General features: G+C 37.7%; 1 protein-coding gene across 6 annotated transcripts in view, besides 2 other annotated features; it reads right to left on the reverse strand.

Moving 5' to 3' along the window:
* Positions 1 to 26821, reverse strand: part of NELL2 (neural EGFL like 2) — a 413574-nt gene that overhangs the window by 345535 nt on the left and 41218 nt on the right. For 2 of the 6 annotated variants that reach the window (XM_011538396.2, NM_001145110.2), the window contains 2 exons: positions 22006 to 22091; positions 21416 to 21544 (listed from right to left, as the gene is read on the reverse strand). In XM_011538396.2, the coding sequence (XP_011536698.1) occupies positions 21416 to 21544; positions 22006 to 22060 (184 nt within the window). In that variant the 5' untranslated portion in view covers positions 22061 to 22091. Of the gene's footprint in view, positions 1 to 21415; positions 21545 to 21697; positions 21808 to 22005; positions 22656 to 22797; positions 23067 to 26821 lie in introns of those variants that run through there. The other 4 variants (NM_006159.2, NM_001145107.2, NM_001145108.2 and 1 more) reach the window with 4 other exon arrangements.
* Positions 22629 to 23130: an enhancer, noted in NCBI's record as "H3K4me1 hESC enhancer chr12:45270221-45270722 (GRCh37/hg19 assembly coordinates)". NCBI's record gives its function as "activates a minimal SCP1, AML or CMV promoter by ChIP-STARR-seq in naive H9 embryonic stem cells {active_cell/tissue: H9 hESC(naive)}" and the evidence as "EXISTENCE:reporter gene assay evidence [ECO:0000049][PMID:30033119]".
* Positions 23131 to 23630: an enhancer, noted in NCBI's record as "H3K4me1 hESC enhancer chr12:45270723-45271222 (GRCh37/hg19 assembly coordinates)". NCBI's record gives its function as "activates a minimal SCP1, AML or CMV promoter by ChIP-STARR-seq in primed H9 embryonic stem cells {active_cell/tissue: H9 hESC(primed)}" and the evidence as "EXISTENCE:reporter gene assay evidence [ECO:0000049][PMID:30033119]".

The following is a 26821-nucleotide window of genomic DNA, read 5'->3' on the forward strand; positions in this document are numbered from 1 at the left end:
AATCTGATGACATGTGAGAAGAATACATCAGTGAAGGACATGTCCTCCTCCAAACAAAGTCAACAGGCTCTCAGAAAACATCCAGGTTCAACGTTCAGTTACTAGGAGCATTGCATCTCATTGGTAGCCTAAAGGAAACATTTTTATATGCCTTTCTTAACAATCCATCAGTCTCCAGGAAGAACTCTGCTCAGTTACAAGTATGTGTCAACAAACGCAATTCATAGTAAAGATATCCAGCTACTAATTACCACTGGAAATTTAAATAAGTTCTAAAAATATAGGTTACGTTCTGCTCTGAAATACTTAACCTATTTGGCATTTTTTCTGGGACACTTAATGGTCCATCAGTACAATGTGTTAGACTGTACAGATATAGAATTAGACACAGTGCTTGCCTAGGGGATTCTCAATTTAAATAGACAAGCAAAATAGATTAAGCCCTAAAACACCAGTGTATGGAAGAAATAAAGTAGATCACTACTATTAAGAATACATATTTATAAAACAGATACACAATGCACAGCACAGGAGTAAAGGGCAGGATATCTCTCAGTAGCAAAGAAAGCATTAGAACAATCCAAGATGCTCTTTAGGAGGGAACTGTTTTGAACATAGTGTTAAAGATTGTCAGAGAGATGAAAAAGAGGATGTTACGGACATCAGGGGTTACAAGAAAAAGAAAAGTTAACTAAAAGGAAGGACGAAATTTACTTCTGGCTGAATGCAAGTGACTTCAGAAATCGTTTAATCTAACTCCCATCTACACATCATTGAAACATTTTTGCTAAAATACTGTTATCTAATCTCCACTTAAGTATTATTAGAGACATGTTTATTGGATGGATGGATGGATGGATGGATGGATGGATGGGTGGATGGATGGGTGGATGGATGGGTGGGTGGGTGGATGGATGGATGGATGGATGGATGGGTGGATGGGTGGATGGATGACTGGATAGATGGACAGATAGAAGGATAGCTATTCCAAAAAAAAAAGTTACTTAAATGTTGGAACTTTGTTGAAAGCATTTATCTTAAAATGACTATTCCCAACTTTTTTCAGAGACCTAGTTTTGCCGTTTACACCAGTGTTGTCCAATAGAAGTATAAGAGCCATAAAGATGAGTCACATAAGTAATTTTACATTCCTAGTAGCCACCTTAAAAAAGTAAAAACAAGTGATTTTAATTTGAATAATATATTTCTTTAACCCACTATCCAAAATATTATTCCAACATATAACCAACATAAAAATATTAATGAGATTTTATATTTTATACTAAGTCTTCAGCACCTAGTATGTATTTCTATACTTATATCACTCCTCAATTTGTATTAAGCACATTTCAACTATTCAACAGCAATTGGTAGTTAGTGGCTACTGTATTGGAGAGCTCAGTTTGAGACAATGGTTCACAAGCTTGGCTAAACATCAGAATCACAGGAAACTTCTTAAAAATATAGATTCCTGGGATTCATCCCCAGAAATTTAGATTCACTAAGTTTAGGAAAGCCAGGGAATCTTTTTAACAAGGCATTCAATAAACCACTGATCATCAAGCTGACATCTGGGAATTATTGCTCTAGAATAACACAAAATCAGTCTAAGTCTTTCTATACATGACTGTCCTTCCAAAATCTTAGAGAAATTGTCACACTGCCACTGTATTTTATTGTACGGGCTAAAAATTCTAAGGTCTTTCAATCATCCCTCATCTGGCATAGTTTCCAAACCTTTCAACTCCCTGGTTGCTGTACCCTGGATGCACTCCAGTTTGTCTGGCTTATTTGCAATAATGGAGAAGTACCATAGCATAAATAATCCAACTTAATCTTTATCTGCCTTGGAAATGTTTCTCAGGACTGTCATATGAATATGAGTGTCTCTGCTAAATGTTGAATTCGCAATACTTCAAACTAAAAATTTAAACTCTCATCATCAAGAAGCATTCAGGATGTCCAGGTTCTTCAAAATGCTGTTATTTCCTCTGTGGCACACTTCATCATAGGCTGGAGAAGGACCCTCTCAGGATAATTTGGAGTTATTCAAAGTTAAACAGAACTACCATTTTTTCCATGCCTCTCCACCCTCTTACCTTTCCTTATGACTAGAGAAGAAAGCAGGTATTTTGATTTTTAGAAAGAGCTCTTCAGCTTTCATTAAAGTTACATAAATACAAAACATAAAGTCACGAAAGTAATCATATTTGTCATGAACAAATGGGCTCAATTCAGTGCCACAAGTATTCACTTAGCAAGGGCTTACTAAGCACATTATGTGTGCAACCATGGTAGGCCAGGAGGCTACAAGAAGAAACAATGCAGAGACTCAAGCCCCAAGGAGATCACAATCTAGTCAAGAAGTCAAGCATATTAATCTAACAAATATATAGAGATGCTCCCCATCTTCTAAAACATTGGTACAACAAGGCAGATTAAATTCCTTCCTCTCCTATGCTAGACATTTGGGATTCATATCAGTAAATTAAGCATTCAAAAATCCCTGCCCGCATGCACTTTACTTTTTAGCAGCAGAGACAAACAATAAACAATTCAAATGATAAGTAAATGAATTATACAGTATGGTAAATAATAAGTGTTAGGGAAACTAACAGATCAGAGTAAGGAGTATCAAGAATATTTGGGAGGTAAAAGACAAGTTGAAATTTTACTCTGTGATCATTAGAGGCCTCATTAAAAACTTGTTATCTGAGAAAAACGTTTGAAAGAAGTAAGGCGGAAAACATGCAGCTGTCTGGGGGAAGAGCATTCCAGGGCACGGTGGACAGCCAGTGCAAAAGCCCTGCAGCAGGAGAGTACCTGCCTGGCATGTTTGAGAAACAAGGATGCCACTGGCGTTAAAGCAAAATAAGCAAGAAAGAGAGAAGCAGATGAGGTCAGAAAAGTAAAAGGGTGGGAGTGGGAGTGTGCAGGTAAGACTTTATAGGGCATAATAAGAACTCTGTCTTTTATTTTGAGTGAAACGAAGAACCCCTGAAAGCTTGGAGCAAAGCAGTGACATGATATGTATTACATTTTAAAAGGATCACTCTGGCAACTATGTGAAGGACAGACTGCAGAGAAGCAAGAGTGTAAGCAGGCAGATTACTTAGGAGGCTACTGCAGTAATCCAAGTGAAAGAGGGTGGTAGCTTGGACCAAAGAGGTACAGGGAGGAAAGGAGAAGTGATCAGATTACTTTACACAAAAAAATTATAATACAGTGTGGTGGGTATTGTATCAGAGGATACTAAGAGAGCACATAAAAAGTAACAAACAATAATTCCACCAAAGGAAGAATTTGTAGCCAAAGTGACAACCTACCTGAATCCTGAATGATATGTAAGAGTTCACCAGGAAAAGGAACCAGGAAGAATGGCAAAGAAGGAGGCCAGCACAGAGTTGCTGGGGGCCAAGAGAAATAGATGGAAATGGTGTTTTCCCTAGAGAACCTACATTCTCATTAAAAGACAGTAAATCATGTAACGACTACAGTTACAGGTGCTACTGGAATCGAAATCAGCACAAGGACTTTAGATTGTAGAAATAAGTAGTAATGCAAGAATGATAATCAAGAAACAATACCAAAGAAGTAACAGGAAATGTAGGGAAAAATAAACCCACTTCACAAAGATCCACTTCACAGGAGATCCGTCAACATTCCACCGGCCCCTGAAACACTATTCAAGGTTCCCTGAAATCTTATCCTCCATCACCAGCTCCCACCAACAGATCAAATCAATACCAAGGAACGCCAAGGTTATCCAGACAGAGCCAGGTAAAACAATTGTGTCATTTGTTTTTCAGAACTTCTAAAACTTATCCCCACAATATAGAACTCAAAACCTAAGCTTTAATTGTGCTTGTAAAGTAATTATGTTGGGGTTGCTGTAGAGAGGAGCTATGCCCTGAATCTTCCTTTACTGGTTTTCTCAATGCTCCCCAACTTCTAAAACATTGGCACAACAAGGCAGATTAAATTCCTTCCTTTCCTAATCTGCCATTTATCCTCATCCCTTTCTACCCAAATCCATATATCCTTTACTCCCCATTAAGAACTAAAAACAGCAAAAGTAGAACAGAAGATGCTTTAGGGGCAGTTTCCCCCCATGCCCAGATGACCTTCACCTGTCCTCCCTTTAGCACATGAAAGTCATCTGACTTTAGCTCCTACACAAAATCTAGCATTTCCACCTGAAAGCCCCTCAAAAGTCCAAGGGAGCATGATCCTCTGATAAGCTAATTCCAAAATAAAAATAATAATTAAGATTTAATGAATGTTTAGTAAATGTCAGGCATAGTTTTGTTCCTATGATGCACACATTGACCCTAAGAAGTAGTACTATTACTATGCCAATTGAGGCAGAAATAAGTAACAAGATCAAGTTCATACAACTAGTAAAGGAGCCAAGACTGGAGATGAAGATGTCTAGCTCCCAGGCCGTGCTCCTAAATGCTACTGCACATCAATATGAACTCAGAATTACCTCCATCATTCCTTCCCTTTGTCTGGAATACAATGTGACCTTTCAGAGCAGTGATTTTTCAGACTTCATTCCATATATTTCCTTTGTAGGGAGAGACACATGGTTGCCCTGGGTTACTCACCCTTTCCCAAGAATGAAGACTATTAGCAGAGGCGTCATCAAAAACAGTTCAGGGAATATGTGCCCAAGTGCCCAGTTCCTGACAGCTGGCCACATGAAAGAAGGAGAAGCTATGCTATACTTTTTTCTTCCCCAACAGCTCCTTCACTAATCCTTTTTAATTACAAGAATCAATATCCAAGTCTCTACAAATATGAGTTTATATGGTGAAGCGAAAGTCACCACAACAACAGTATTCACCAATAAGTTGTTTGCTTAGAAAATGTTTCCATCTAAGACTAATGTCTATCCCGGCAATGTCAATTAGAAACTGAAATCTAGCAAAAGATGAAAAATTTCATGAAGTCAATAAAAGCAATGTAAGCAAGTGCTCAAATGACACAAAAAGGCCCTAAGTTATGATTATCTGATGCAGGTGGATACATTTTTTAAATTAAAATTAAAATTTAACCAGAATGATAAGTACTTCAAAATAGAATGATTTCACATTCAAGGATTAAGAGAGAGTCCTCAGATATTTTTGCAAACACAAACAACAACAACAAAACACTCAATACTTGATTTTACTCTGTTTCTTCTTAGAATTCGCTTGTGGTTAAATGATTACCTACAATTTGTCATATATAGACTAGGATACAATTTTCCTAGTTTTCTAATCATTCTTCAAGATAAAGTCCCAAATTTTCTTTTTCATGATTTACGATAAAATTTTGGTTCCTATTTTACTGTAATAATTTATATAGACATTTTCCTTTCCCTATTATATTGTGATCCCCATCCTTAAAATAGAAGCAGTGCAATAAATATTTGTTAATTTGAATTGAATTAAAATCAACAGGAAGGCTGGGTGCAGTGGCTCACGCCTGTAATTCCAGCACTTTACAAGGCCGAGGCAGGCGGATCACCTGAGGTCAGGAGCTCAAGACCAGCCTACCCAACATGGTGAAACCCCGTCTCCACAAAAATACAAAAATTAGCTGGGCATAACGGCAGGTGCCTGGAATCCCAGCTACTCAGAAGGCTGAGGTGGGAGAATCGCTTGAACCCAGGAGGTGGAGGTTGCAGTGAGCTGAGATTGCACCATTGCACTCCAGTCTGGGTGACAGAGTGAGACTCCATCTCAAGAAAAAAATAAAAATAAACAGGAGACATATCACACCATAAAGCCTTGTTGTCTAATGCCTCAGTTATCAGTTAGTACCTTGGTAGGTATTGAATTATAGACAGATAATCTAGAATAAGAGAAAGAATAGATGCCTACAAGAATGGGATCCAGACCCAACATGAAGAGAATAAGCCAACGAGAGGTGGAATAAAGCCAAAGAAAGATAGAAACTCTTCATTTCAGCTGTTACCCAGAGTGTACTTCAGCCATGACACTGAAAGTCGTTCACCTGCCAGAGCCTGTCAAGATTGCTCCAGGTCCTCCAAAATCAAGGCAGTGTTCCTCTGATATCCCTTGTACTTTTCAGAGGGGTCTTCTAGTTATGTTTGACCCTGTCAATAATTACAGCTACCACACTTGCTGGGTGCCAAATAGCATGCTAAGTGTTGTCCCTTCTATCTTCAAAATATTAATGCTTTCTGACTTTTCCCCTCCACATCCAGATTAACATTTTGAGGAGAAAGGGTGTATTTTTGAAAAAAAAATACAATAAAAAACTAGACACTTGATTTTACTCTATTTGTTCTCAGAATTAGTTCATAAATGGTGGGGAGAATCCCTTAAATACTTAGCATTTACCATAAAGACTGAATTGACATGTAAAGAAACCTATTGTACGTCCCAAATGACTAATATGACATGGTAACTGTCAATACCAAGTTGCAAACCACTCCATAAACACATTCTGTTGCATAGTTAAATGAGAACTCAAAAGAAAGTTTAATTTGGTTATAAAATAAATAACTGCTAATGTTCAAGATATATATTAGTTTTCTATTTCTGCTGTAACAAATACTACAAACTCAGTGGCTAAATTAACAAATTTGTCTTGCAGTTCTAGAGATTAGAAGTTCAAAATGGGTCTCCCTAAGCAGACATCAAGGTGTCAGTAGGGCTATGTTCCTTCTGGAGGCTCTAAGAGAAAACTTGTTTTCTTGCTTTTTACAGCTTCTAGAGAATGTCCACATTTCTTGACTCATGGCCACCTTCCAACTTCAAAGCCAGAGATGGCCAGTCAAGTCTCACATTGCATCACACTGACACATACTCAATTACCTCCCTCTCCCACAATTAAAAGGCCCCTTGTGATTACATTGGGCCCAGCTAGATAATCCACAATAATCTTATTTTTAAGTCAGTCGATTAACAACCTTAATTTCATTTGCAAATCTAATCTCCCCTTGCCACATAACAATATATTCACTGATTCTGGGGATTAGTATGTGGACAGCTGACTCTCAATCAGCCTACCACAGTCTTTCTCCTGACCCCCAAAGATTCACATCCATTGTACATGCAAAAGTCCCCCAAATTTCCAGCCCACTGAAGTATCAACTCAAAGTTCAAAATCTCATCTAAATCTTAATTAATTCAGAAGTACCAAGAACCACACATTAGAAAGATGGTGGAATACAACTTTCCAGCCCTCATCCCCCTGATAGAAACATCAATTAGAACAACTATCAACACATAACAATATACCATCACAAAAGCTAAGAAAACCAGGTGAGAGATTGCAGCACCTGGGTGTGGCACAGAACTAAGAAAAGGCATACTGAAGAGAGCAGTAAGGACAATTTTACGTTACCCATCTCACCTTTCCCCAGTGCCAGGCAGCACAGCATGGAAAGCAATAATCTTGAGGAAACGAAATAAAAATGAGCACTTGACTTTGTTTCAGACCCCAAAAATAGGCCTGACTCAGTAAAGCTCAACACTAGGCACGACTCCACAGTCACAGACTCTAGGCTGGTACCCACAGATTGAGCCTCCAAACCCATTCTAGTGCCAAACCGGATCCCACAGCCTCAGGCTCCAGGCTGGCCAATCAGACTTGGTCTTTGGGCTGCCCCACTGTCAGCCCAACCCCAGTAGCCTCAGGCTCTGAAACAGTCTCAACATTAGATTGGCCCCCATAGACCCAGGCTCCAGACCCATCCCAGAAACAAGCAGCTGCAGCAGCCATGGGCTCTGGACTACCCCGAGAGCTGAGCTGGCCCTCACTGTCCCAGGCTTCAGGCCTACCCTAATACCAAGCTGGCAGCCTCTATCCACAGGGGCCAGCCCAAAGCTGGGTCTAAGGATGCCCATTCCATCACCAGGGCAGCGACCATGGACTATGGCTCCAGGCTAGCCCCACAGACCCAATCAGTGAGTCCAGGCAACAGGCCTGCCAAACTGCTAACCCAGTCACCAGGACAGCCTGTCTGAGAACTCCAGCAATAAGTCTTCCCACCAACCATGCCAGACAGTCTTCCTGGAATCTATGAACTGGCTGACTGGTGAAGAGCTTTCCCAGACAAAGCCAGTCTGCAAAGACTAGAATAAGTCCCTACTCCTTCAAATGCACTGACTTCAACACAAGCAACAAGAAACATAAAAAGCCAAGGAGATATAACACCACCAAAAGTGCACAATAATCTCCCAATAGCTGACCCCAAAGAAATGAAAACATATAAACTTCATGACAAAGCATCCAAAACAATTGTTTTAATGAAGCTCAGAAAACCTCAAGAAAGTACATATAAATAATTCAATAAAATCAGGAAAATAATAAGAGATCAAAATTAGAAGTTTAACTCTTTTCCCATTTGCCCCACGAATACTCACCAGCAGCGCTTGCAGCTGCAGTGTTTACTCTGAGCTAACTTTGCCATGAAATATCTTGCTTTTATTATTATTTTTACATTGCTCCAGTATATAGGCTTTAGAAACAAAAGACATCATTCTATTTATAGCATTCTGTTTTTAATAGTGGTATTTCCATTTAAAAATATAGTAATTCTCAATTGCTGAAAATGTCAAATCCTAGAAAATGTAGCATTGCCATGCAGATGTTAACATTGTTCTTGAACAGTTGTTGGCCAAAGATTAATCTGATGAATCTGATTTTTCCAGAATTGATTATTCTGGTGATTCAAATAATTCTGATGTTAGTTCTGTTAATAAATAACTCTAAAAACAGTTTTTATATTTTATTTTCACATTGAAAATCAGTCAGATTTGCTTCAGCCTCAAAAAGCATGTTTATGCAAAATTCAATGAGTGCTGACAGTGAGCTGCACTTTTTTTTCTAAACAGAAAAGGGATTAATGGAAAGTTTAAAATTATATTTAGAAAAAACACAAATTCTTCAGCTAAAAAACACAGTGCACAAAATGAAAAGTGCAATGGACAGTAATACCAACAGAATGATCAACTGGAAGAAAGGATCTGTGAACTCAAAGACAGGTTATTTGAAAATATATAGTCAGAAAAGAAAAAAGAAGGAAATGGAAAGAAGAAGAAAACTTACAGGATTTATGGGACGGCATCAGGAGTTTAAGAAGGAAGAAGAAAGAGACAAGTAAAAAAGCATATATACACACACATACATATACTTTAAGTTCTGGGATCCATGTGCAGAACATACAGGTTTGTTACATAGGTATACACGTGCCATGGTGGTTTGCTGCACCCATCAACCTGTCATCTACATTAAGTATTTCTCCTAATGCTATTCGTTCCCCTAGCCCCCCACCCCACGACAGGCCCCAGTGTGTGATGTTTCCCTCCCTGTGTCCATGTGTTCTTATTGTTCAGCTCCCAATTATGAGTGAGAACATGTGGTGTTTGGTTTTCTGTTCCTGTGTTAGTTTGCTGAGAATGATGGTTTCCAGCTTCTTTAAAGAAATAGTAGCAGAAAACATTTCAAATCTGGAGAAAGATATCCAGATACAGAAAGGTCAACAGTCTTCAATCAGATTCAATCCAAATAAGACTATATCATGACATATTATAATCAAACTGTCAAAAATCAAAGACAAAAACAATCCTAAAACTAGTAAAAGAACCAAATCACATATAAAGGAGTTCCAATAAAGCTAACAGAAGTTTTCTCAACAGAAGTCTTACAGACGAGGAGAGAGCTGGGTGATATTAAAATTGTAGAAGTAATAAAAAAAAACTGCTAACAAGGAATATTGAACCCAGCAAACATTCCCTTCAACAATGAAGGAGAGATAAAGACTTTACCAGACAAACAAAAGCTAAGGGAGTCCATCATCACCAGACCTGTCTTACAAGAAATGCTAAAGGGAGTTCTTCAAGCTCAAAGAAAAGGATGCTAATTAGTAACATGAAAACATCTGAAATATAAAACTCATTGGTAAAATGAAGTACAAAGTCAAATTCAGAATACTCAAATACTATAATGGTAGTGTGTAAATCACTTATATCTTCAGTATGAAGGTTAAAAGTCAAAACTATTTAAAAATAATAAAAGCTATAATAATTTATGAAGGAATACATGATATAAAAAGATGCAAACGGTGCATTAAAAAATAAAATAAAATGTAGGCAGGGAGTTGGCTGTAAATGTGTAGAGTTTTTCTTATGAGATCAAAGTTAAGTTGTTATCAGGTTAAAATAGCCTGTTTTAACTACAAAATGTTTTACGTAAGCCTTGTGGTAACTACAAAGAAAAAAATCTACAATAGATACATAAAAGATAAAAGGAAAGGAATCAAAGCATACCACCAGAGGAAATCACCTAAGCACAAAGGAAGACAACAAGAGAGGAAGAAAGGAATAAATATGTCCAAAACTTCCATAAAACAATTAACATAATACCTGTAGTAAGTTCTTACCTATCAATAGTTACCCTGAAAGCAAATGGATTAAATCCTGCTATCAAAAGACATAAAGTGGTTGAATGTATTTAAAAAATAAAAAGCAAGACCCAGATACATGCCACCTATAAGAGACTCACTTCACTTTTAACAACACATGAAGACAGAAAGTGAAGGAATAAAAAAAAATTCCATGGAAATGGAAAACAAAATAGAACAGGATAGCTATACTTACATCAAATAAAGTAGACTTTAAGTCAAAAACTGTAAAATCAGACAAAGTACATTATATAAAGAGATAAATTTATCAAGAAGATATAACAATTGTAAATATAAATGCACTTTACATCAGTGCACCTAAATATATAAAGCAAATATTAATATATCTAAAAGAAGAGATAGACTGCAATACAATACAATAGCACTAGGGAACTTTAATACCCTACTTTCAGCAATGAACAGATCATCCAGACGGAAAATCAATAAGGAAACATTTAATTTAAACTACACTTTACATCAAATGGACCTAACAGACATATAAAGAACATTTCATCCAACAGCAGCAGCATACTCATTCTTCTCAAGTGCACATGGAACACACTCCAGGATACATCACCTGTTAGACCATTAAAAAAGTTTTAACAATGTGTCTTTATAGCAGCATGATTTATAGTCATTTGGGTATATACCCAGTAATGGGATGGCTGGGTCAAATGGTATTTCTAGTTCTAGATCCCTGAGGAATCGCCACACTGACTTCCACAATGGTTGAACTAGTTTACAGTCCCACCAACAGTGTAAAAGTGTTCCTATTTCTCCACATCCTCTCCAGCACCTGTTGTTTCCTGACTTTTTAATGATTGCCATTCTAACTGGTGTGAGATGATATCTCATAGTGGTTTTGATTTGCATTTCTCTGATGGCCAGTGATGATGAGCATTTTTTCATGTGTTTTTTGGCTGCATAAATGTCTTCTTTTGAGAAGTGTCTGTTCATGTCCTTCGCCCACTTTTTGATGGGGTTGTTTGTTTTTTTCTTGTAAATTTGTTTGAGTTCATTGTAGATTCTGGATATTAGCCCTTTGTCCGATGAGTAGGTTGCAAAAATTTTCTCCCATGTTGTAGGTTGCCTGTTCACTCTGATCATGCTGCTCTAAAGACACATGCACACGTATGTTTATTGTGGCATTATTCACAATAGCAAAGACTTGGAACCAACCCAAATGTCCAACAATGATAGACTGGATTAAGAAAATGTGGCACATATACACCATGGAATACTATGCAGCCATAAAAAATGATGAGTTCATGTCCTTTGTAGGGACATGGATGAAATTGGAAACCATCATTCTCAGTAAACTATCGCAAGAACAAAAAACCAAACACCGCATATTCTCACTCATAGGTGGGAATTGAACAATGAGATCACATGTACACAAGAAGGGGAATATCACACTCTGGGGACTGTGGTGGGGTCGGGGGAGGGGGGAGGGATAGCATTGGGAGATATACCTAATGATAGATGACACGTTAGTGGGTGCAGCGCACCAGCATGGCACATGTATACATATGTAACTAACCTGCACAATGTGCACATGTACCCTAAAACTTTAAGTATAATAAAAAAAAAAATTAAAAAAAAAAAGTTTTAACAAATTTAAAAATAATGAAATCATATCAAGTACCTTTTCTAACCACAATGGTATTGCTATGGTTTAAGTGTATACGTCTTTCCGAGATTCAAATGTTGGAACCTAATGCATAATGTGATATTATCAAGAGGTGGGGCCTTTTGGAAAGTCATGAGTGATCCACTTTCATGAATAAGATTAATGGTCTCATGAAAGAGACTGAAGGAAGCACCCTAGAGTCTCTTGCCCTTCTGCCATGTGAGGATACAGCATTCATCACTTCCACTATGTGAAGACACAAAGAAGGTGTAATCTATGAGGAATGGCCCTCACCAGACACCAAATCTGCTGGCACCTTGATCTTGGACTTCTTAGCCTCCAGAATTGTGAGAAATAAAAAAATTACCCAATCTAAGATATTTTGTTGTAGTAGCCAGACAAGATTAAAGTAGATATGAAACTAGAAATCAGTAACAGGAGAATTCCACAAAATTTGCAAATACATAAAAATTAACATGCTCATGAACAACTAATTGGTCAAAAAAGAAATTAAAAGGGAAATTAGAAGGAAAGGGGAAATTAGGGAAATTAGAAGACATCTTGAAACACATGAGAATGGACACAACATACCAAAACATAAAGGATGCAGCAAAAGCAGTTTTCAGAGGTAAGTTTATAGCAACAAATGCCTACATTTAAAAAGAAGAAAATCTCAAACAAATAACCTAAAGTTACAAATAAATGAACTACAAAAAGAAAAACAAAATAAGACCAAAGTAAGACCAAAGGAATGAAATAATAAAGATCAGAGCAGAAATAAATGAGAGAGACTAAAATTAATAGAAAAAATAAATGAAACAGAGAGTTGTTTTCTAATGAAGATAAACAAAATTGACATGCCTTTAGCTAAGAAATTTAAGAAAAAAGAGAGAAGACTCAAATAAATAAAATCAGAAATGAAAGAAGAGACATTATTACTGATACCACAGAAATACAAAACATCATGAGACTACTATAAACAATTATATGCCAACAAATTAGATAAACTTAGAAGTTTAAGTGTATATGTCTAGGAATGTATTCATTCCTAGACACATACAACTTACCAAGACAAAATCATGAAAAAATGAAAAATCTGAACAGACAAATAACTTGTAAGCAAATTGAATCAATAATAAAAAGTCCTTCATCAAAGAAAAGTCCAAGGCCTGATGGCTTCACTGCTAAACTCTATTTAAATAACCAATACCAATCCTTCTCAAACTCTTCCAAAAAAATGAAGAAGAGGGAATAAATTCCAAATTTATCTTATAAGGCCAGCATTACTATGACACCAAAGCCAAATAAGGATACTACAAGAAAATTACAGGCCAATATTGCTGACGAACAGAGATGAAATAATCCTCAACGAAATACTAGCAAACCAAACTCAACAGCACATTAAAAGTATCATTCACCATGATCAAGTAGGATTTATCCCAAGGAGGCAAGAATGGCTCAACATACACAAATCTATAAATGTGATACATCAAATTAACAGAATAAAGGACAAAATCCACATGATCATTTCAACATATGCAGGAAAACATTTGACAAAATTCAACATCATTTCATGATAAAAACTCTCAATAAATGTATAGAAGAAATGTATCTCAACACAATAAAGTTCAGATATAACAAATCTACAGCTAACATTATACTCAACAGTAAAAAGTTGAAAGTTTTTCCTCTAAAATAAGGAAAAAGACAAGGATGCCCAATCTTGCCACTTCTATTCAACATAGTACTGTAAGTCCTAGACTTGCAATTAGGCAAGAGAAAGAAATAAAAGGCATCAAAATTGGGAAGGAAGAGGTTAACTTATCCCTGCTTGCATTTGACATCATCTTATATCTAGAAAATCCTGAAGATGCCACCAAAAAATTGTCAGAACTAATAAATGATTTCAGTAGAGTTTCAGGATATCAAATCAATATACAAACAAAAAGTAGTGTCTCTATGTTAACAATAAACTGGTGAGGTGCAGTGGCTCACACCTGTAATCCCAGCACTTTGTGAGCCCGAGGCGGTCCAATCACTTGAGGTGAGGAGTTCAAGACTGGCCTGGCCAACATGGTGAAACCCTGTCTCTACTAAAAATACAAAAATTAGCCGGGTGTAGTGACGGGTGCCTGTAATCTCAGCTACTTGGGAGGCTGATGCAGGAGAATAATTTGAACCTAGGAGGCAGAGGTTGCAGTGAGCCTAGATCTCACCACTGCTCTCCAGCCTAGGTGAAACAGTGAGGCTCCATCTCAAAAAAAAAAAAAAAAAAAAAAAATGAACTACCTGAAAAAGAAATCATGAAAACAATCTCATTTACAATGGCTATGAAAAAGATAAAATACTTACATATAAATTTAATCAAGAAGGTGAAAGAGCTGTATACTGAAACTATAAAACACTGATGAAAGAAATGAAGAAGACACAAATAAATGAAAAGATATGCTTTGGTCATGGATTCAAAGAATTAATATTGTTAAAATTTCCACACTATCCAAAATGATCTACAGATTTACTGCGACCCTTATTAAAATTCCAATGACATTTTTCTGTATTCATTCATCCATTGGTGACCATTAATTAGGTTGATCTCACATCTTGACAATTATGAATAATGCTGCAAAGAACATACGAATGCAAATGAACACATAAAGAAAATGTGGTATATGTACACAATGGAATACTATTCCACCTCAAAGAAGAAAATCCTGTTATTTGAGACAACGTGGATCAACCTGGAAGACATTATGTAAAGTGAAATAAGCCCTTCACAGAAAGACAAATACCACATGATCTCACTTATATGTGGGACCTTAAAAAGTTGAACTTATAGGAGCAGAAAGTAGAATGCTGGTTACTAGGGCCTGGGGATGGGGGATAGTTGTTGGGGAGATGTTGGTCAAAGGACCAAAATTCAATTAGATGGCACAATATGTTCAAGAGATCTATGGTACAACATAATGACTATAGTAATAATACATTGTACTCTTCAAAATTTCAAATAGATTTTAAGTGTTCTCACCAAAAAAAATTATAAGTACATGAGGTAATGAATATGTTAATTAGCTCAATTTAGCCATTCCACAATGTATATTTCAAAATATTGTGTTGTACACAATAAATGTATACAATTTTGTCAATTTAAAAATAATTAAATTTTAAGTAACAAAACATAAAACAAAAACAAAAGTCTCAAATCTCATCATCCAAATCATCTAAAACAGGTATGAGAAAGGCGCTGCATATAATCCATTCTGAGGCACACCTTGAAACATAGTATCTGCTCTCAAAAACACAATGGTAAGGCAGATAAAGATGATAGTTCTAAATATTCTCATTCAAAAAGGGAGAAAATGGAAGAAAGAAAAAAAAACAATTGCCATATCCAAGCAACTTTAAAATCCAGCCAGGCAAACACCACTTGGTTTCAAGGTCTAGAAATAAGCTTCTGTAATTATTGGTTCCACCCTCTGGAGTCAGCTCCATGCTCTGGGCTCTGAGTTCTGCCCTTTGAATTAACCTTCTTTTTTCATGAAAGGTAGCTTCATAGAAAGATGTTGACAGCCAAGTCAGCCTGTTTTTTGCTTGTAGAATTTTGGGGATCCAACACCTTCTTTCATTTTATTCTCTCACTGATTCTTTCAGGCCACACCAGCAGCAATTTTACTGCCATAATATTCTTAAGAACCTTGTAGATCTCCCATGTATGTCATGGGGATTCACTCCATTAAACAAAAAAGGCTCCTCCATAGATATTTCTTGGATAATTCCATCTCTATTTGTGACCTCTGCTGAAATGGTTGAGGGGATCTATGAGTCATATGTTCTTCAAAGAGCCCTCAATGTAACTGAATACTCTGACCTTTTGATATTTCTGAGGCACTAGCAAAATATTTTCTAGTCACATCCTTGGCTTTCTTTTCAGACTAGGTATTCCTAACAGTGAATATCCTATTTTAACATGTTTTGGAATCTGAATAGGTTGATAATTTCTCAAATATCAAGTTATGAATATGTTTTGCTCAACAATTATTCCCTAAATCTCTCTCTCTCCTCTCACGTTACTACAAACAGCAAGAAAAAGCCAGAGTGCACCTTCAACACTTTTGTTGCTTACAAATCACCTTAGCTAAAATCTAAGTTCATTGTTTACAAGTTTTGCTTTCCACATAACCACAGGGTACAATTCAGCTAAGTTTTCTGCCACTGTGTAAGAAGGGTCCCCTTTCCTTCAGTTTATAATAAAAATTCTTTATATCCATCTGAGCCCTCAATGGCAGTTCCTTCAATGTCTATACCTAACCAATGCTCGCTTATGATAATTTAGGAATATTCAGAGGTGATTTAGATTTTCTCTCTACCATGCTCTTCACTTTCTTCTAAGTCCTCAATAATAGAGTCACCAATAACCATATTTCTACTGAAAGTCTATTTAAGGCAATCTAGGCTTTTTCTATCATGCTCCTAAAAATTCATCCAGCATCTGCCCATTGCCCAGTTCCAAAGCCACTTCCATATTTTTTAGGTATTTCTTACACCAGCACCACACTTCCATGCAGGAAAATTTGTATTCGTTTCCTATTGCTGCTCAAACAAATCACCACAAACTTAGTGACTTAAATCAACACAAATCTATTATCTCACAGTTCTGGAGATCAGAAGTCCAAAATGAGTCTCATTGGTCTAAAATCAAGGTATCAGTAGCACTACATTCCTTCTGGAGGCTGTAAGAGAAAACTCATTTTCTTGCCTTTTTCAGCATCTAAAAACTGCCTGCAGTCCTTGGCTTGTGGCCCACTATCACCTTTAAAGCCACCAGTGGCCAGACTAGTTTTTCTCATATCACATCACTCTACACTGACTATTCTGCTTCCTTCTCCCCATTTCAAAAGATTCTTCTGATTACACAGGGCTCACCCAGATAACCTATGATAGCCTCCTAATCTTAAAGTCAGCTGATGAGCAAACTTAACTTCCCCTTGCTGTATAACGTAACCTATTGTTTGGTTCCAAGAATTAAGACATGAACATCTATGCAGGACCATTATTCTGCCCACCATAATATATATTTCCATAATGATAAATTTTCAATTCTGCTCTATTAGTATAGCCTACCATGTAACCTGGTTCCTGCTTTCCTCATATACTTTATTTCATATCACATGCCCTATGTTTCTACTTCTCTAGACTTCCTCCACGTTCTCAAATGCACATTCATCCCATGCTCAGAACCTTGCTCACACACTAGTCCCTTTGCCTATCCCCATAGCTTCTCTTCTTTGGACTACTCTTACATATCCTTCAACTATCAGCTTAAATGACTATTCTTCAAAGATGGTTTCCCTGAGCCTGAGACTCCCCTAACTAAAATATAGATTCCCATTATATCTTCAGTTTTTCTTCATATAATTTATCTTAATGGTGATTAGGTCTGTAACTATGTAATTGTTCAACGGCTATTTTTAAGACACTATGAAATCAAAGTTAAGTTCTAACGTCTTCATTTGTTATGTGCCTAACACCTAGCAGTATGCTAGTTTCCCAAAAATAACTTATTTGAAAGAATGAAAGTAACTCGCTTAATTGTCATAACAATGATCATTTTATAATTGAGGGTACTGGAGCTTAGAGAAATTAAGTAACTTCACCACAGTAAAACAACTAATGAAATTCCACCTCAGTCTATCTTGTTTCTAAGTGCATCTCTTAAACACTGTGTTATTCCACACTATTTGGGCACCAACAGCCATCACTTCAAAGTCCACAGATGCTCACCAACCATCATACTGAAGACAAATTAGTGCCACCTCGATTTCCTCAATGCAGTTACCTTTGCCTACTAAAGTCCATGGTCTATTACCAAATGCCTATTTCACTCTGCGTAACACTGGCATAAGAGGAGACGTACGACCTTTTTTTCCCTTTAAAACCTTAAAGTTTTTTACAAATAACTACTAAGCTTATTTTCAACTTAACAACTTGTAAAAAAAACATGCTTTGATTTTATCCACTTCTCTTCTATGGATTAATGAGATTATAAAATCTGTTAACACTTCAGAAGAAATTGTATTAAACCAACAGAGGAAATTATCTACTTTGGGAACCTGGCCAGATTAATTGTTAAAATCAAAGATCTAAAAATCATGCTAACATTGCTAGAAAGTCCTAGAATGGTGCTTCTGTATACTCTCATTCCTGATCCCTCATGTACAGAGAGGAAAAAAACATTATTATGATCATTATCTTGGGGAATACTTCCTAGATTTTAGAAAGTAGAACCCTTTATAACCTTTCATAGGTCTTTTTATTGTCTACATTCACTCCTCTAATTTTTAAAAGCATAATAAGTGTATTTTTGTGGCTGCAAGTCAGATTATAGCTAGAAATGACTAGAAAATTGCCTGGATTCCTTTTTTGAAAATTATGGTAATTGGCAAAGATCAAAAGCCATATTTATTAAGGTGTAATCTAATTTAGCATCTTATTACTTGAATTTCCAAAACAACTATAAATCAAATTTCAACAACAACAAAACCATTTTAGTGATACTATAGTTGCTATTATTATTTTTAAAACATATGACTTTAAAATATATTTCCATTTGTTTTTATTAGGTATAGATAATAATAAATTTACGAGTTTCAAAAGGTATTGAATTGCATGCATCTCAAAATCCACTAAGGAGAAAAACTGGCACAAGGAAAAGCAATATTAAATGAGCAAAAATCACTGGGAAAGTATATGTTGAGATTTCTTTATTTTAAAGCTAAAAGACAGAAGAAGATGGTTACATTACTGCAGGAAAAATTTGATGGTCCAAAAATCTCTTCCATCTATTTAGAACATATCTGATAGCACAAAGAAACTTATATGATAGGTTCATATGAAACCTGAGAGCATCTCACGGATTTTGTAATTTGTTACTATTCCTGCTATGACTATGTATAGTGTATATGTATATACCGTACAAAATATCTGCAGCACCCTCAACTCACTGTAAATAGAATCTATAAAATCTTCAGTCTGTATATTTTTTTCTCTCTAAAGCCAAAGGAAATCTCAATGAAGCAGCAAGACTCGGAACTGACTTCTTAACAAGTTTCCAAATGCTATTAGCAAAGACCTTGCCAAGGTAATGCGAAATTCCATGCATGGCCAAAGGGCCACCTTTTGTCAATTTCATAATCCGAATCTTAGAATAAAAGAAATCACAAGAGCATAATCAATACATCAGTAATATATGCCTACTGAGAACATGGCATGCAGGAAATACTTGCTGATTGATTGGTTATATTAAATAAAGTCCATAATTTGGCAGAAAATGAAATTTTACACCTTCAAATCTCATAAACCATATTTGTTAGGCATTTACTCTGTCTAAATATTGAGCTCGGCATCAACAAGGAAGGAAAAACAACCAATTCATCAATGTACATGGATATCTAGTTACTATGGACAATTCAAACAAAACATTTTATATGCCTTATGTATTTTGAACACCTACCTTGAAGAATTTGACAATTTAAATAAAAATGAATAACTAAACATTTTTAATTAACCAGGAAAAGTTATCGATTCCTGAGACTATTTCCTAAAAATGGTTTAATTTTCTAGCATCAGAATATAAAATGCACAGTCCTGAAGGTTTCTATTTGTGACAGATCAGACACTCTTCAGAGGAAACTAGGTAGAATACTAATAAAATTTAAAGGAGCTTTGTAAATTTTAAGAGCACTACAATACCATTTGTTTATTAGGAGCTTTAGATTCCATAAAGCTTTCCAGTTACTCGAATTGGCAGTCCTGAAATAACTTTGTTTCCAGTTCATAGGGATTAAAAATCAGAGATAAAAACAACACAATACAAAACAACAACAACAAAAAAAAAAAAACAGAAGGTTAACCCTACTGACACTTCTATTCAACTGTGTGAAATTCTGCTGACAATGTAGCCTTATCTTCTTTATTATATTTGGTCATTGTTTTTAAAGGATTCAATATCCAAGCCCCACCCTCTTATAAAAGACCCTTAAGTGAATAAAACATTACCATAAATATTTGTTACAATAAAAAATTAACTTAAACATAAAATTTAAACAATAATTTTTAAGCCAGAAAATTGCATTTTAATTTTTTATAAGAGCAAACTTGTTTTAAGTAAATGTAACACATGTGAATTTCCTCCTTTCCCAACTCTAAGCTTTGGTTTTAGTGTCCATGGTGACACATACTGGCTATATCAGGCAACAACACCACTACAGAAACACTCAAGTTTTATTTTATTTCTATTTCTTGGTAGCATATTTTCCGAAGTGGTTTCCTTTTGCATATCCAACTCTTTAGTAATTATGAATTGCACTTTCAAAGCCATGGCACCAAAATAACAACAACAACAACAAAAATCTGGGTGAGGTAGGGCAAGAAGCTTTAGTCCATTAGATATGTTAAACCAAACTCCATTCTCTTTTGCCTTCATGTATTCTTCACCATACATGAATCTAGTCTGTCTGTACACGTTTAGCTACCTTTTAGAAGCTCTTATTACGGCAACTTTCCACAAACAAGCAATCCTCAAAAGCTCTAATCAAAGTTGAAGGTTTGCTGCATTGGAATTTGCTTCTGACTGCACAACACATTTAAATATAATTTGAGATGTAGACATTTGTGCCCAGCCAATATCCATTGACTTCAAAAAAAAGTTGTAAAATCGTAAGTACACAATTAATGATAATATGAGATACACTTCTAGATTAACATTTACTTGAAATCTTTCCAAAATACTTTTGAGACCATTATTCCCTTTCTCTTGTTATTGGTGGATGAAGGAAGAATGAGGGTCTTTCAAAGATAAATTTTGCCTCAAATATACTGCGACTGTGATATGCAGTAAGTAAAAATATTCAGAGGCATTAATTTTTCCAGAAAGCTACCCCCATAAAACAATTCCTCCAAGCAGGGCACCATCGTACCTGAAACTTTCAGAGATCAGTGTCTTAACTAAGATTAAGCTATCCTTTTTCCTACCTAAATCAATTTCACCCAAACGAGGCGTTTGTGTTATAATTCATTGTTCCCCAGATTCTAAAATCAACCATCTGCCATAGGAGTTTCTGCTCAGTAATTAAGGGACTATCCATTAGAACTGGCAAGAGTACAAAGTACGAAGGAGAAGGGTGAGGCAGGGGAGAAAAAACCACTTAAAAGAGATAGGGATATGTGTCTCACACTGGCCCTTCTACACCTCAGCTAAAGTACTGTCATCCATGAGGCAATACAAAGTTAGGACAAGCGGCAAGAGCAACTCCTGCCGGGGTTATCGGAACTGAAATCACAGTGGGGATGCAGCACGCCGGGCATACCTTGAAAGAGAAAGGCTTTCGTCCCATTATGCAGCCCCGGGACCTGACGCACTCCGGTCGTGGACTCCCCAAGTTCTAACTCTGTTAAGACGTCAATCTGTAGGGAAGGGTCCACACCAAGCCCCCAAACTGGTGAGGGGTATGAGGTGGGAGAGAGAAAAAGGAAAAGCTCCATCAAAATGCAAGTCTCTTCCTCCAGGGCAGCAAAGAACCGCGTTTTCGCGACAATATTGGGAACTGAAGATGAGAGGCGACTGCCTCCTCCTCCGCCGAGAGCCTTACCTGAGATCAGCAGCCAAGCTTTAAATAGCGGAGCACCCAGTCCCGTTTCCATGACCTCCTTTAAACCCTTCTCTCTGCAAAGTTCCCCCTCAGCCCTCCGACCCTGGACTAGGGGCGTGATCCGCCTCGCGGTCTCCAAGGCAAGCACAGAAAAAAAAAAAATCCATATCCAAACCCGCCCCCTTACTCCAAGCTTCCCACTCCAGACCTACTTTGGGTCCGGGAAAAGCGAGGCTTCCCCAGCCAGCCCATGCTGCCCCGAGGCGGGAGCCATCCCTTTCCCCAGCCCCAGCTCTGCGGCCACTCACCTGCTCCGAGACCGAAGATCAAACAGAATGTTCTCAGTAAGACCCGAGACTCCATGGTGCGGATCAGCTCAGTCCATCGTCTCCCTCTTTAAAAATAAAAATAAAAATCGAAGAGGTTCTTGGAATCAAGCGGGAAAATAACGTTTGTCTCTCCTGCTGCTGCCTCGGATTTACTGATCAGTAGGATTAATACGCTTTGGTTGCCTAAGAAAGAAAAGGGAGGCCTCCCCAGGCGCGTGAAGAACTTAGACCCTCCAATGCGCACATCATTCCCACACGCAGGGCCGAGGCGGCAGCGCGGCCCGGAGGGGGCCCGGAGGGAGGGGTCGGACTCGCCCCGGCGCGGCTCCGTCGGGGAATTAGCTCCCGAGCCGAATAAAAGCAGCCAAAGACTCGCACACCCGGTAGAAGGGGGGCGGCCCCAAGAAAGCCCGGGCTGGGGCGGCCCCGCACCCCCCCGTCTTCCCCGCCGCCCGAACCTGTTGTAAAGGCAGAGACAATGGAGAAAGCTCCGGGAGACGCGCGGAGAGACTGCTCCTCCGGGGAGGGAGGGGCGGGCCGGGGGAGGCGGGGTAAGGAGGAGGGAGGGGCCGCCGAGGGCGAGGCCGGCGCTCAGCGTCGGTCTCCCGCACGGTCTCCTGGATGCCAAACCCGGTCTAGGGAGCCCAGGAGCCGTTGCAGCCTCAGCTCTTCTCCCTCCCTCTCTCGATGACCCGGGCAATGCCAACCTCCTTTCGGGATTGAAAGCTCTAAATCCAAGGTGCTAAGTTGATGGGCGGTCTTTGCTCTCACCCCTCGATTTCGGGCGCGTGTCTTGAAAGACAGGAGAGAAAAAAGACCACCCAGCTGCAGGAGGCAAGGCTGGAGCGAGTAGCGCTCGCCTGCCCTTTAAGCAAAGGAGGGAAGCCCATGTGCACTCGTGCACTGGGCTCCGGAGCAGCCCCGGGGTGCAGGGCACTCCCCCTCCAGGGCGTGCGGAGGAAGGCCACCAAAACACGCTGCACTGCCGAGGTGGAGCTGGGCAAAGTAGGTAGAGACTGGTGGGGACGGATGGCGAGCCTGGGAAGCCCCGGGTGTCCTGGTGGAGAGGTTCCCTGCCGGGGGCGGGGCGCTGGAGAGCTTCCCCGGCGCGGAGAGCTTCCCGGGCGCGGAGAGCGCAGAGAACTTGGCCAGGAGGTGCTGGACAGCTCCGGAACCCGCGCGCCCCCTGCCAAATAAAGCGTGGAGACCCGGACTCGGGCTCTCTGGGACCAGCATACAGCAGAAGGCAAGGGGAACTGAGCCAGGGCGTCTGTTCACGCCGAAATATCTACCTACATAGAGGAGATGGTTAGAGAGAGAGAGAGAGAGAGAAATAAATAAATACGTAAATAAGCAGAGGGAGGAGATGGAGCCCAGGCGAGAGAGAAGAGCCATCCCACTGTTGACCACACTCATGCAGGCTCTACCTGCCCTTCACCACATATGTCCGGGACCATAAAAGTGGTGTCCTTTGAGATCCATTTTTCAGCAGGCACATGTATGTTCAAGATCAATGGTACATAATATTTTTTGAACATAGCCCTAAAATTTTTAGGTAAATTTTGAGGAATGGCATTCCACTTTCATTTTGGAAAAGTTAAGAGTTTAAAAAACCATTATGGTATTAATCTGTACAAAGATCAATTGGGTTTCTTAACCTTCCATGCAAACATGTGGGTACTGAATTCTCCAACTGGATACTAACAGCTACAGTTACCAAAATGCCTACTGGGTAGTCTGAGCCCCCTGCAAGGCAGGAGTATAATATACATTTTATCTATAGATATATAGTTATAGATATTATCATATAGTGGAATACATATACTATATTATACTATAGGGAAAGAGGTATTTTTAGATCTGCCCTTAGAATTTTTAAGACAAAAGATTCAGAATTCGGGAGCTCTTTTAAATTAATTTTTAATTCTCTCTTATCGAATTTCCCATTTAATTCTATTTGTAACTTTGTAAAGTTTGAGAAATATTTCAGTACTTACAAGTGATAAAGGATTGTCATATGCAATTTCCCAAATTTGAAAAACTATGCCAAATAAATAATACAATTTAATTAATCAATGAAAAGAAATTAATCATCAGAGAATTAAAGACCTTTCTACAGCTGTGCATCTAAAATATTCAATTGTAATAAGTATCTACAGAAGCTACACGAAATAAATTTTAAATAACGTAGCATTTAAAATGCTATCATTAGAGAAAAGAATAAAACATAAATATACATATGCACATATATATTTCCACATAAAAGTCCTCCTAACCAACCTGTGTTCAACCAACTCATGAAAGTAGGGATACTCTCGAGTTTCTCTGACTCTCATCCATATGCTGAAAGCTGGTGGTTAATGGGCTTATCTCCAGTACCATACACACTGAGGCTCCCTCCAGAACAGTGGTATTTGGTACCCAAAATAATTCTAGTTGAACCTGCTACTGTAATTATTTGACCTAATTAAATAGTATGGAAATCATTAAAATATGAGTATGGGGAGGTGTGAAGAGTTGTTTCTCTAAAACTAAGGTATAAGGTTTGGAAACCCATAGTAAAGGTGAGCCATTGTATTAGCTAGGGCAGAGTTTCTCAACCTGGGCAGGAGTTTTCAACATTATAACTACTAACATTTTGGGGCTGGATAATTCTTTATTGGGGCTGTCCTGTGCCTTGTAGGATGTTAGTTGAATTCTTGGTCTCTATCCACTGAATGCCAGTATTTTCAGTATTCCATTTTATCTATGTGTTCTTTTGACTATATCTCTTTGTGAAGCTTTTAAAATTGGTATTCTAGGGAATACAATATACATACTTAACTTTTCACCTTCTACCTAGAGTCCATACATTACCACTTCAGTTCGAATACAGAAGCTTTACTACCACATCAAATCCCTTTATCCTCAACTCTTTAGGTTGTAGTTGTCTTATGTATTATATCTACATACACTCAAACTCCTTTTAGACAATGTTAAAATTTTGCTTGCAATCATTGTTGTAGGCATAATAATATTCCAATCCCCTTCCCCTTAAGAAACAGTCTTTTCCAGTTCCTAATCAGTGGAACCTGTGTATGTTACCTCACATGGCAAAGGGGATTTAAGGTTGCAGATGGAATTAAGATTGTTAATCAGGTAACCTTAAAATAGGAAGATTATTTCAGATTATCTGGGTATGCCCAATATAATCACGAGGGCCCTTAAATGTGGAAGAAGGAGGCATAAGAGGAGGTCAGATTAATGCAATATGAGAAGAACTCGACTTCCTGTTGCTGACTATGAAGATGGGAAAATATAGAAGGGCTATGAGACAAGGAATATGGGAGGCATCTAGAAATTGGAAATGGCAAGGAAAAAGATTATCCCTTAGAGCCTCCAGAAAAGAATACAACCCTGCTGATAACTTGACTCTTGCCCAAAAAAGTCAAGACTGTTTTAGACTTCTGAACAACCATCCGTAAGATAATAAATTTGTGTTGTTTTAATCCACTAAATTTGTGGTAGTTGGTTACAGCATCCACGGAAAACTAATATAAGTACTGACTACATGAGGAAAAGTTCAGTAAACATGGTTGACTCTAACGACCCTTAGATCCCTTCCTACCATATACACATATCAAAGCTAAGTAAAATGCCCAATTTTTAAATTCACAGATGAGCTTTAAATTAAGAAAAGAAAATCCCCAGGTGCTAGAAAAAAGACATAGCAGAAGATGGACAGAGAAAGCAATAGGTGGTGCAAGAATTTGGAGAGGGTGGAACACAGGGATTCAGACTCTATCGGGACCCTAAGAAAATAGAGTGGGATTTTAACATCCACACCAGAACTGAAAACAACAAATTTTGGAAGCCAGAAAAGATGATGATATTACTGATTCTTCTGATAAGAGTAGTAAGCTTTGAAGAATTATATCTCCTACAAAAAGAAACTTTTGAAACTTTAAAACTTTGCATGTTGGCCGAAGCTTGCCAGCTGCACGTGCCCTTGTGGAAAACCAATGCACCTATACTAAATGTCAAATCTCAAGCTTTGCCACTTGCAGGTACAAGGTCCGAGATCACACTCCTCACTGATATGGAAATTCTAAAATCAAAAAGTAGCATTAAACTCCCAGGGTCTTCTGAAGAAGCAAATATAAGACTTCTTTTAAGTGACTTTCTATGACTTCTGGTACACAAGAAGAAAATTCCTGCTGTGCAATAATAATAATAATAATTGTCATTGTTATTACTATTACACTGAGATAAAAGACTATGAAAAATAGTCAAGAAACATACACACACACACACACACACACACACAGAGAGAGAGAGAGAGAAAAACAGAGAATTAGTATCTCATGACCTCAGGATATCAAAAAATAAAGTGACAGAAAACATAAAATAAGAATGTTTAAGTGATTGGAGATATTTTTAAAGGGATATAAAAGAAATGAAATGACAGAATTGTATGAGAAAAGAGTAGACATATCTCAAAAGAAACCAAATAGAACTTCTAGCAATAAAAGTATGTTTAAAAACAATATTAAAAACCATTAGCTCTAATAAGCAGCAATAAAACAGTGCTAAAAATTAGTGACCAAAAACATTGAAAACAAAAAGTCAGATGTGAGAATATTACTGAGAATGTGCCAAGACCGATAAAAAGAATGGAAAACATAAACAAAACATGAATGTTACAGTTAAAATAACCAACACACAACTAGTTAGAGATGTGGAATAACAGACTAGAAAGAATAGAAGTATATAGTATTATACATAACATTTAAACAAATAACATTTAAAAGTTTTC

This window comes from Homo sapiens, chromosome 12, assembly GCF_000001405.40.
Source record: "Homo sapiens chromosome 12, GRCh38.p14 Primary Assembly".
Classification (NCBI taxonomy): Eukaryota; Metazoa; Chordata; class Mammalia; order Primates; family Hominidae; genus Homo; species Homo sapiens.